This window comes from Homo sapiens, chromosome 9 (genome assembly GCF_000001405.40).
Source record: "Homo sapiens chromosome 9, GRCh38.p14 Primary Assembly".
NCBI lineage: Eukaryota > Metazoa > Chordata > Mammalia > Primates > Hominidae > Homo > Homo sapiens.
In genome coordinates this window covers 411011-423365 of record NC_000009.12, presented here as the reverse complement: position 1 = coordinate 423365, position 12355 = coordinate 411011, and the positions used below count along the sequence as shown (strand labels likewise).

At 40.2% G+C, this 12355-nt stretch overlaps 1 protein-coding gene across 17 annotated transcripts in view; it reads right to left on the bottom strand.

Moving 5' to 3' along the window:
* DOCK8 (dedicator of cytokinesis 8) overlaps positions 1 to 12355 on the bottom strand; it is a 253999-nt gene that overhangs the window by 41890 nt on the left and 199754 nt on the right. For all 17 annotated transcript variants that reach the window (XM_017015173.2, XM_047423927.1, XM_011518045.4 and 14 more), the window contains 5 exons: positions 8415 to 8584; positions 5159 to 5298; positions 2783 to 2965; positions 2288 to 2417; positions 1231 to 1318 (listed from right to left, as the gene is read on the bottom strand). In XM_017015173.2, coding sequence (XP_016870662.1) covers positions 1231 to 1318; positions 2288 to 2417; positions 2783 to 2965; positions 5159 to 5298; positions 8415 to 8584 — 711 coding nt within the window. The remainder of the gene's footprint in view (positions 1 to 1230; positions 1319 to 2287; positions 2418 to 2782; positions 2966 to 5158; positions 5299 to 8414; positions 8585 to 12355) is intronic.

Sequence of the window (12355 nt, the reverse complement as noted above, 5' to 3'; positions counted from 1 at the left end):
GCTACCTGTGGCTAAACGGTATCGGAAACATGTGCTATCTAGTCAAACATATATACTTTTAGCTTTCATATGTCTAAATTGTTGCATATATAGCAATACACGTCAATATATCTATTCATCTATAGCATAGATTTTGATCCAAACAGGTTTTTTTATTCTTTCATTTCTTTATAATTTTTTTTCTGGTAACAATATATATTATAATACACATCTACTGTAGGAAACATAGCAAAGTATAAAAGAGAAAACATCAATTACCGATATTCCCAGCACCCAAAGAAAACCGCAATTAATATTTTGGTAAATTTCCTTCTAGCCTTTAAAAAATACATTGACTATATGTCATCAGAGATTTGAGGTTCTTTTTTTTTTTTTTTTTTTGAGATGGAGTCTTGCTCTGTCACCCAGGCTGGAGTGCAATGGCACGATCTTGGCTCACTGCAACCTCTGCCTCCCGGGTTCAAGCGACTCTTCCTCCTCAGCCTCCTGAGTAGCTGGGATTACAGGCATCTGCCATCATGCCCAGCTAATTTTTCTATTTTTTGTAGAGACGGGGTTTCACCATGTTGGCCAGGCTAGTCTCGAACTACTGACCTCAGGTGTTCCACCGGCCTCAGCCTCCCAAAGTGCTGGGATTACAGGCGTGAGCCACACACTACTAGAAAACCAAGTGTCTACCCTGCCTTTGTTCATTTAACATTATGTCATAAGCATTTCCCCATGTCATTAAGATGATTTTAAAACATTTTGATGGCAATCCAACTTTTAAATATATTTTTCTATTCTGGAGCATTTAGAATGTTTTCAATTTTAAAAAACAACTTTAAGTAGCACTGACATAAATATATCTGAATGTATATCTTGTACATATTTCCAGAAAGGAAATATCGATTTGAAAGTATACGGTCCTAGGCACCGTGTCCTGCTTTCTCTATTTCCCTGCTACCCTCCCTGCAAAATCAGCTGCTTTTATTAAGCCATCTGAGGTTGCTAAAGAAATATTAGTTTTCTTTACATGCTTATCAATGTGACAAATTTTTAAGAGCTGGAAACCACAACTCCCTATACCTTTGATTATCCTGGGTCCCTGGATGAATTGTATTTACACAGATAATGATGTTTCATTTTCTAACCCTTGGAAGGATGCAGTTGTTTCAGTAATACAAGCAGCCTGGGAAAAATAGTTTTGGACTTTAGGTAAAAGTAGCAGAAAGTTGCCGAGTGACTCACTTATCTAGCTTCTCATTAGCTTGCCGCCAATGTGTCTGCTCTTTCTTCCATCTCAAATTTTCATTTAGGCCTGGAAATCGGTCGTTCCCTAGGAGTTAAGAAATGCATGATAGGAATTTGATTAGCATGAAACCCTCCAAGATAACCAGAAGTTCATAACAAGCTCAACTGAGAAGCCTCAGCACCATTTCTCGGGCTAATTAGAGTCCATGCAGGTTGCTGGTAGGAGACAAAGTCGCCACACCTATGTCCAAGTTGGCCCGCTCTTTGATTGATAGACTAGAATATAAGAAGAACCTCTGCCTTTCTGAGTGTCAGAGAGACATTTCTCATGAGCAGAGGATTCCTGTGAAACTCTGGGGGCTTACTGAATTATTGGGTATGAAAGTATGGGTGTCAAATGAGGGTGCCTGACCACCACTGAAAACTATGAGCTCCCTCCAAGTTCCCTGCCACTGTGTCCCTTCGAATACAATAAGCTGTCACTCTGTTTTACTTTGAGCATGGTGAATAAGACTGAGGGTACCTGGGGATTTCATTCTATTCAAGCTCAGCCTTTTTGAGATCATTCCTCCTGTGGTGGAATCCTTGAATGACTGGGACACTCTGAAGCCATTTCAGGGAACTGGTTCCATTCTAATAGTGCCCTGAATGATCGAGAAGATGATCTTGGGGCCAGAACTGTTCAGTTTCTTGACCATGCTCCGGATAGACTAGCCAAAGGTCACATAGAAAGGCCTCAGCCTTGAGGGAAACACCTTCCACCTCATCCATGACTGACATTCTTAGAGGTGACCTTTTACCATCAACGAGTTTTAATTAAAAGATGTCATTTGGTGCTGTTTTCAGGGTTCCTACAATTGTAGAACAGCGCTTTCCCTCACAGGCACAGGGCTAACACAAATGTCACACACAGACTCCCAGAATCCGCTGTCTCTGACACTACCGTAAATATCTCAAGAAAGTAATGGTGTCTAATCATGTTGGGAGGACATTCCTCCCCACAAACAGTGAAAAACTGCTTGACAGAGAGCAGGGAAGGGCCAGTCCAACACACCTGGAGCCCGGCGGCGCATCATCTCCCCTCTGGCCCCTTCCCCACGGAGCAAAGCCTCTTCCAGCCGGGCCTTGACATCCCTTGACTTCTGCAGGACTTGGGTACTGACTTTGTCAGAACTCTGTTTTCCCTGGACAAGACAGAGGTAGGAGGACATGTCCTTTGGTGAGATCTCCGTTGATGGGGAGAGTTACCAAAACAGTACACTCCACAGTGATGCCAGCTAAGTTTGACATGTGCTTCACTGAGATGCTGCTCTGGAGCATCCTATGGGCCAAAACTCTGTCAACAGAAATGGGGTTCTCTCTGCAGAAGGCAGAGATCCTTTCCCTGTGAAATGATCATATCTATACCTACAAATGGGTTATGGATTTGAATACAGAAATGAGAAAAATTAATGATGCCTCCATGGCCCAAACAAAGGGGATGAGTAAGAAGACAGAATTGCAATTGAGAGATAAGAGCTGGTATAAAGTTGTGCCACTCCAGACTTACCTTATACTCAAAACATAACACACAGATGAAAAGTAGATCTAAAATCCTGTTGAGCTGCGTTGATGGCAGGTCAGCAATCCACTTCCTAATGAGGCTCTGATCAGCATTTTTCATGATCCAGAGGAAGCAGATCATGAGGTTGCGAGTAGTGTCCGCGTTCAGCATGTTGTACTGCTTATAGGGCTGAAGGGAGGCAGATTGGGGGATGGAGGCCAGGGAAGAAGTCAAGCAACAGAAAAATTTGAGGCTTAACAGTCAAGCAACAGAAAAATTCAAAGTGTTCTCTTAAAATACCATGACTGTACATCACTGCTAGGCTGGAGATCTATTGCCAGTAGCCCTGCCTTCCCTAGGCAGGGGAAGCTGTGTTCTTTGAGTAGCGCTACTCAGCAAAGAGGCTCACCTGGGGCAGTATTTGAGCTAGGCTTTCAGCCACGTATCTGAGTACCTCTGTCTTAGGAGCAGTGTGGCCTGGTGATCACCCCTGGGCCTTGATCATGCGTGCTGCAATCCCAGTGATACAAAGAGGCTTTCATGCTGCTAAGATCTCCAAGTATTTCTCCTTCGTGCTGGGCAGCAGAGGGTTAGACTTACAGGGGAGAAGGAAACTGGCTGGGTGCCATGAATAAGCTTGCTGTTCAAGATTTAGCTTCTTTGTTACATAGTGCAAAGTATAACATAAGGGTCATGAACTGCTCAGCAAATTAATCAAATCCATGTTTGTGGAGTTCTCTGTAATGGAAGTTTAACCATAATTTATGTTTGCCTGGGGCTGGGGTGTGGGGGTTCAGGCTATTTGCTTTAATATTTTGGCCACAAGTATTCATTTTAAAGTGCTGAGCGCACTCTCTGTTACTCATCTCATCAACACAAACAACAACAATGAGGCTGCACCCTTGGTTCATGCAGCGTAGCTAATATCCAGTGGAATGTACTGGTGAAATTGCAATGAGGAATTTGTGGGTATGGGAGGGAAATGTTAGTTTTGGATGGAAATAATAGAGGTTATAAAGCAACTTTAACTTTAGTTATTCTGAGTTTGTTGACAAGAATAAAGGAAATCTTGAGATACAACCTCACAAGGACTATGTTCTAACAGGTGAACTTTGGGCTTTTGAGTTTTTCCCTTAGAGGCAAATAATGTAAAAGGCATATACCACCTCAAGCAGCTAACTTTGGTAAGACGGATATTAGAAAGGTGGAGGAGGTCACACAATATTTCTCCAACAGTAAGATCGGTGATGTCAAATCTCAAATGTCTTTTCTCTGTCTCATCTTCCTGCCTCACTGTCCCCCCAATCCTCATGGTGATGGAGCTTGCTAAGTGCAGGAAGGAAGACAAGAAAGTCATCCAGCAAGAAGAGTTAGGTCAGGATGCTGCTTTCTCACGGGAGAAGAAAGTTAAATTCTCTGCACATCTATACCCTACATTGAAATGTGAAAGTAAATGACATTGGAGGATGCAGTGCTGTCTTCACAAGGGATAGTCAGAGCTCATCAATGAACAGAGATGAATCCCACCTCAACTGAATCAGAGGATACATTCCCAGAGGAGCCCCTCTTTGAGCCCACAGAGTCCATGCAAAAGGACAGAGCCAAACAACCCTCCTTAGGCTCCCTGGGGTCCTAGAAAAGCTGCAGTCTTGTTTAAGAAGCCCTTACGCTAAGCTACCAGCCTCCTTCAGTCTTTTTTTTTGGAGGCATTACACTGTATGAATTACACACACATAGACTGAACACAGCCTAAGCCTCCACCCTCAGAGAGCCTTGGTTTGATCTCCTTTGCAAGGATTTCAGATTTCCCAAGTTTTCCTCTTTTCCGGTTTCTTGAACTTGAACTCAGCACCACTGGGACTGCCTGAATTTGATCTGCACATCTCTTGCTGTTGCCAGAACCCTTTCTGACTTGTGTGCACCTCAGCTGCCAGCCTCACAATGATTCTTTCCAGCAAAATGAGGCGGAAATAATCAATGCCTGCTCTAAGCTGAGTTCTCCCATCAGAAGATGACAGAAGAGGCTGGGCACAGTGGCTCACGCCTGTAATCCCAGCACTTTGGGAGGCTGAGGTGGGTGTACCATCTGAGGTTGGGAGTTTGAGACCAGCCTGGCCAACATGGCGAAACCCCGTCTCTACTAAAAGATACAAAAAAAATTAGCCAGGTGTGGTGGTGCACGCCTGTAATCCCAGCTAATCAGGAGGCTGAGGCATGAAGAACCCGGGAGGCGGAGGTTGCAGTGAACTGAGATTGCGCCACTGCACTCCAGCCTGTGCAACAGAGTGAGACTCTGTCTCAAAACAAACAAACAAACAAAACAAAACAGAAGACAGAAGACATGAAATGAAAAATCAACCAGACACATGTGCACCAACATACCAAGGAAGACAGCACTATTCCACTTGTTTTCAAATTGAAATTATTCCCTGCTATGGCCAGAGCCACATTCTGGTTAATGGCACCGGCTCCTTCTTGTTCTTCATCCGAGCCACTGGTGCGGTATCTGCGAGTATCTGCAACTGCAATGAAAACATCGTTTGTGATGTCAAGTCAAACATGACATTTCCCCATGTCCCCTACCCAATAAGAGACTGATACTTCTCAGTCACTAAAGTCAGCACAGTAATTTCAAACCTGATGTTTAGCATTATGTATCTGCTATCACCTATAGGAAAACACAGCAGGCTAAGAGACAATGTCTAGCACAAGATTAGGCTAGAAATTAATTTTTCAAATTGTGTGAACAAAAAGTTTTCAAACCTTCCATAATTGTTTCCTGTAACATAATTTTTTAAACTTCATTCTCTATTCTAATAATTGGCATTATTTTAAATAATGACCAAATAGAAGACACCTACAATTACAGAATTAAGCAACTACCTTATATAGAATAATAAGCTATTATCACAAGTTCAGCAATAATTTGTCATATTTCAAATGTTTAAAATGAATGTCAATTTATTGTATCTATGTAATATAGACATACCCATATTTATAGATAGGTCTAGATGTATGCAAGCAAAAAAACGATAAACCGTTTAAAAGTCTGGTTTTTAAGAATGCTACCAGTATACAATCAAAAACTATTAATATTTCAAGCAGTTCTGGGAAAAGTGTGGTAAAACATTCACAACTGATTGATTCACTCATGTTTTCCTAAAAATTCATGTTTTTCTAGACCTGTTGACATTACAGCCATCTGGGCCTTCAATTATTTAGAAAAATTTGAGTGTAAATAACATTTCTTCTACTAAAGTTGTGAAAACAAAACCCAGTTCTTATTATTTATTTATTTATTTATTTTTAGACAAAGTCTCACACTATCATCCAGGCTGGAGTGCAGTGGCGCCATCTCCGCTCACTGCAATCTCTGCCCCTCCATCCTCCTACCTCAGCCTCCCGAGTAGCTGGGATTACAGGTGCGCCACCACGCCTGGCTAACTTTTGTATTTTTAGTGGAGACAGGGTTTCGCCATGTTGGCCAGGCTGGTCTTGAACCCCTGGCCTCAAGTGATCTGTCCACCTTGGCCTCCCAAAGTGCTGGGATTACAGGGGTGAGCCACCACACCGAGCCAAAACCCAATTTTTAGAAATACTTATTAAGGCCATTGGGATTTTAAACAAATGGTTAAATAAACAGCACATGGAAATTATGCAAGACCTGATAACATTATCACAACTAACATAGAGACACATTCTTATTTCCCCTTAATTGCCATAGGGTTATAGTTACAAGAAAAATCGGGAAAGATACAAACATGTGCTGTGCAAAATGCTTTTATAGAAGTTCTCTAGTTTCACCTTTATCGTAAACCTAAAAGGTAGACATCGTTATCACATTTTTATAGTTTACAGAGGAAAGGAAGGCACGGAAAGGTTGAGCCTTTCAAAGGTCACTTATATTAATAAATGGGGCTGGAATCTGAATTCAGATGCATCTTTTTGAAAGACTGTATTCTTATGAGTTTATCAACCTAAAGATTCCATATTTAATAGATGTACTGTGTAACCTATAACAATAAAATACTTTTCACTGTTTTTTTCTCTCATCAGCTACATCATGATCATAAAGTTCAACGCATATACAAAGAAGTCTTTGAGGTTTAAAAGGCTTGGAGACCAAATGTTGAAAAGTTCTGATTCCGAGTCACTGATACGGAATATTCTAATTGACAAGAAAACTTCGGATAATGTGTGCTAAAGTGGTTCCTGGCTTTGGGAACAAGCAAGCTCTTGAAATGGAACTTTTTAGAAACTTGCCATCAAGGATTCTCAAAATGGGCTACAAGTCACATGCCATGCTCTGCATTATGTCTGTAAATGTTAAAAACAACTCCATTTTCAATTCCGCGCAATCAGGCGCTGCTAGAGGAAGCTGCTGACCTCATGGTGCAGCTTGCTCAGCCCTGTGTGCTGAGCTTGTTTCTATCATTTCCTTGCACTCTGGCCCCAACAGAACTCTACAAACCCTAACCCCTGTCTCAACCTTTCTCTTCTGAGTTACTCCATTAGCAGTTTGCTAGAGGATTTTTTTCAAGAAAGGAGAGAATTACTTCCACAGGAATACTTGCTTTTCATTTTATGATTTGTATGAATTAAAGACTATAGGCGTTTGGTCCCATTTTCATGAACTAAATACTTGTCACCGTAATAGTATTATAAACAATTTAGTCACACATGACACTTTCCATTTGGAGGAGGTGGGAAAACCTGGATGGTTCCAAGATTTCAAGGATGACTGACTATAAAGAGGCTGGCTCAGGGAAGCATTGCCCAGATCCCAGCACCCTTCAGCTGCCAAGAGAGCAGCATGGACATTTCCAAAACTTCCCTTGAGCTGGAGGAAAAGCAAGAACTACTCTGATGGGATAGGAATTGTGTGTGTGTGTGTGTGCACGCGCGCACACACGTGCACACACACGTACGCTGTGGAGAGGGTAGGCCAATGGACTGCCTTTCTCAGGTCAACATAAGAAGTTCTTCTATTTGGGAGGATTTTTTTCCCTCTACATTCCTTAATCCACAATGTAATTTGTAAATAGATTCTGGGGTTTCACAAAACCCCTTTAAGACAACTTATCCTTTCATCTTGTTGCTAATCTAGACATATTAACCTCAAAATTAGTCACTTAGTGCCAAGGGCAATATTTCTCTGCTATGATAGAATTTTCTAATATTGACATATGCCATGATTTTTTTTTTGCATGGAGCAATTAGTTGGGTTCATTTGAGACCGCTTTTTTGCTTACATATTCATAAAAGAAAAGGGAAGGAACACCTTTATTTCAAGGTGTTAGAGCACGATCTCCAAAGGCAGTAATCTTGTTATTATTTCATCCTTTGTGGTGTATGGTTTATAAAGTTCATTCCATACTAGCAGATCAATGAATGAATAAATGAATGAATGAAGAAACAAGTAAATAATTTCTAAACAAAAAACACATATGGGGCTATGTGACTTTTTTTGTTTTTTTAACTGATTGGGGCCAGTGTTAAAGAGGTTTGGAGACCATTTTTGTGAAGAATTGCTCATATGAACATATCAGCACTGGAACGAATGACAGAGATCTCATTCGGATGGGGCATTTGGCAGGGGCCCCCAACAATCCAAGAAAGAAAACAGAAGGGCCATTACCTGTAAAGTCACAGAGCTGTGGCAAAGCATCCAAAATGATGCCAACTAAAGGTAGGTAAAGGGCGGCGATTTTGACCTTCACCTCTGGTTTGACACAGCGTGGGTCCAGGTCGTGAGAACTTAGCAGGCTGTGAATTGCACTGACAGCTTTCCTTTGTACTTTGCTGATTCTGTTGGCACAACACAGGAATCAAGAGGTTATGGTGAAAGGAAATTGACTAAAGAGCTCTTAAACAGTCAAGAGTGATGAAAACGCTCCTAAGCAATGAGGTGACTGTGAAAACCAAGCAATATAGGATAGAACTACATAGAATCCAGAAACAGACTGCCTGTGTTCTAACCCTGGAAAACCAAGCAATACAGGATAGAACTACATAGAATCCAGAAACAGACTGCCTGTGTTCTAACCCTGGAAAACCAAGCAATACAGGATAGAACTATATAGAATCCAGAAACAGACTGCCTGTGTTCTAACCCTGGAAAACCAAGCAATATAGGATAGAACTACATAGAATCCAGAAACAGACTGCCTGTGTTCTAACCCTGGGTCTGCTGTTTAGCATGATGTTTTTAAGTTTATCATATTGTAGCATCAGTACTTCATTCCTTTTTATTGCTAAATAATATTCCATTGGTGAATTTTATCCATTCATCAACTGATAAACATTTGGATTGTTTCTGCTTTTGAGCTATTGTGACTTACCAACGCTGCTATGAGTATGTGTATACAAGTTTTAAGTTTTACTTTTCTTGGGTACATACCTCAGAGTACATTTGCTGGCTTGTATGGTAACTGTCTGTTTAACTTTTTTTTTTTTTTGACATGGAGTTGTTCAGGCTGGAGTGCAATGACACGATCTCGGCTCACTGCAACCTCCACCTCCTGGGTTCAAGCAATTCTTCTGACTCAGCCTCCCAAGTAGCGGGGACTACAGGCACCTGCCACCACACCTGGCTAATTTTTGTATTTTTAGTAGAGACAGGGTTTCACCATCTTGGCCAGGCTGGTCTCGAACTCCTGGCCTCAAATGATCTGCCCACCTCAGCCTCCCAAAGTGCTGAGATTATAGGCGTGAGCCGCCGAGCGCCCAGCCTCTGTTTAACTTTTAGAGGAATCAGCAAGTTGTTTTCAACGGTGGCTGCACAATTTTACATTCCCACCAGCAGTGTCTGAAGACTCCATTTTATTCTTGCCAACACTTTATTACCTGTCTTTTTTATTATATCCATCTTCGTGGGTATCAAGTGGTATTTAATTGTGATTTTAATATGCATCTCCCTGACGGCTAATGATGCTGAACATCTTCATGGTCTTATGGCTGTATCTTCTTTGGAGAAATGTCTATTCTGATCTTTTGCCTTTTAAAAAACTGAGTTATTTGTCTTTTTATTACTGAGTTGTAAGATTTTAAAATATATATTCCAGATACAAGTCCCCTATTAGGTTTTTGATTTGCAAATATTTTCTCCCATTTTGTGTGTTGCCTTTTCATTTTTTTGATGGTGTCCTATAAATCACAAAAGTTTTAATTTTACTGAAGTCCAGTTATCTATTTTTTTCTTGTTACTCATACTTTCGAGTGTGTCATATCTAAGAAACCACTGCCTTTTCTAAGTCTATGATGATTACCTCTATAATTTTATGTAACAATTTTATAGTTTTAGCTCTTACATTTAGGTCTTTGATCTATTTGAGTTAGTTTTTGTATACAGTGTAATATAGGGTCCAACTTCATTCTTTTGAGTGTGGATACCCAGTTGTCCCAACACCATTTATTGAAAATTCTATTTTCCCCCATTGAATTGTTTTGGCACTCTTGTCAAAAATCAATTGACTATAAATATGAAGATTTATTTTTGGACTCTTAACCCAATTTCATTGATCTATATGTCTATCATATGTCAGAACCCCATAGTCTTGACTACTTTTGCTTTGTAGTAAGTTTTGAAATTGGGAAGTGTGAGTCCTCCAATTTTGTTCTTGTTTTTCAAGGTTGTTTTGGCTATACTGGGTCCCTTGAATTTCCACACGAATTTTAGGATCAGTTTGCTAATTTCTGCCAAAAAAAAAAAAAAGCAAGCTAGAATTCTGAGAAGAACTGCATTTAATCTATGGATCAATTTGGGGAGTATTGCTATTTTAATAATAAGTCTTCTGATTCATGAACATATGATATCCTCCATTTATTTATATCTTTCTTTCAACAGTGTTTTGTCATTTTTAGTGTATAACTCTTGTGTTTCTTTTGTTACATTTATTCCTAAATATTTTTTCTTTGTGATGCTATTTTATATGAAATTGTTTTCTTAATTTCATTTTCAGATTGCTCATCGTAAGTGTATAGAAACACAATTGATTCTTGTATGTTGATCTTATACCATGCAACACTGCTGAATTCATTTATTAGTTGTAATGGAGTTTTTTGTGGATTCCTTATGGTTTTCTATAAACAAGATTATGCCACCTATGAATAGAGATAGTTTTACTTCTTTTCCAATTTAAATGCTTTCTTTTCTTTTCTTCTTTTTCTTTTTTTTTTTTTTTTTGAGACAGGGTCTTACTCTGTGGCCCAGGCTGGAGTGCAGTAGCGTGATCTCAGCTCACTACAACCTCCGCTTTCTGGGATCAAGCAATTCTCCAGCCTCAACCTCCCAAGTAGCTGGGACTACAAACACAAGCCACCAATGCCCAGCTAATTTTTGTATTTCTTGTAGAGATGGCGTTTTGCCATGTTGCTCAGGGTGTTCTCAGTCTCCTGGGCTCAAAGCGATCTGTCCACTTTGGCCTCCCAAAGTGCTGGGATTACAGGCGTGAGCCACCACGCCTGGCCTAGATGTCTTTTGTTTTATTTTTTTGCCTAATTGCCCTAGATAGAACTCCTAATATGTTGAATAGAAGTGGCAAGGGTAGACATTTTTGTCTTGTTCCTAATCTTAGGGATAAAGCACTGTTTTTCACTAATAAGTGTCACATTAGCTGTGGATTTTTCATAGAGGCCCTTAAGTCAAGTTGAGGAAGTTCTCTTATTTCCTAAAAGGTTTGTTGAGTGTTTTTATCAGGAAGCGTTATTAGATTTTATTAAATGCTTTTCTTTGCATCTACTAAGATGATTGTATGGGTTTTGTCCTTTATTTTATTAATATGGTACAACAATTGATTTTCAGGTATGCAGCCTATCTTGCATTCCTGAGATAAATCCTACTTAGCCATGGTGTATAATCCTTTTTATATGCTGTTGGATTCAGTTTGCTAGTGTTTGTTGAGGGTCTTACATCTATATTCATCAGATACTGGCCTGTAGTTTTCTCATGATGTCTTTGTCTGGTTTAGTATAGGGTAATGCTAGCTTCATAGAACAAGTGGGGAAGTATTCCACCTCTTCCATTCGTTGGAAGAGAAGACTGGAAGTTGGTAAAAAATTAGAATTAATTCTTTTAAAAATATTTGGTAGAATTCATCAGTAAAGCCCCCCAGGTTTGAGCTTTTATTGTAGGAAGTTTTAAATTTTAAAATATATTATTATTATTATTATTATTTGTGATGGAGTTTTGCTCTTGTTGCCCAGGCTGGAGTGCATTGGCATGATCTTGGCTCACTGCAACCTCTGCCTTCCAGTCTCAAATGATTCTTCTGCCTCAGCCTCCCGAGTAGATGGGATTACAGGTTCCCGCCACCACACCCAGCTAATTTTTGTATTTTTAGTAGAGACGGGGTTTCATCACCTTGGCCAGGCTGGTCTTGAACTCTTGACCTCAGGTGATCCACTCGCCTTGGCCACCCAAAGTGCTGGGATTACAGGTATGAGCCACTGCGCCCAGCCTAAATTTTTAATTTGTGTGGGTACATAGTAGGTGTATGTGGGAAGTTTGATTACTAACTCAATCTTTTTACTTCTGTAGGTCTATTTGGATTTTCTATATCTTCTTGGAGTCAATTTTAG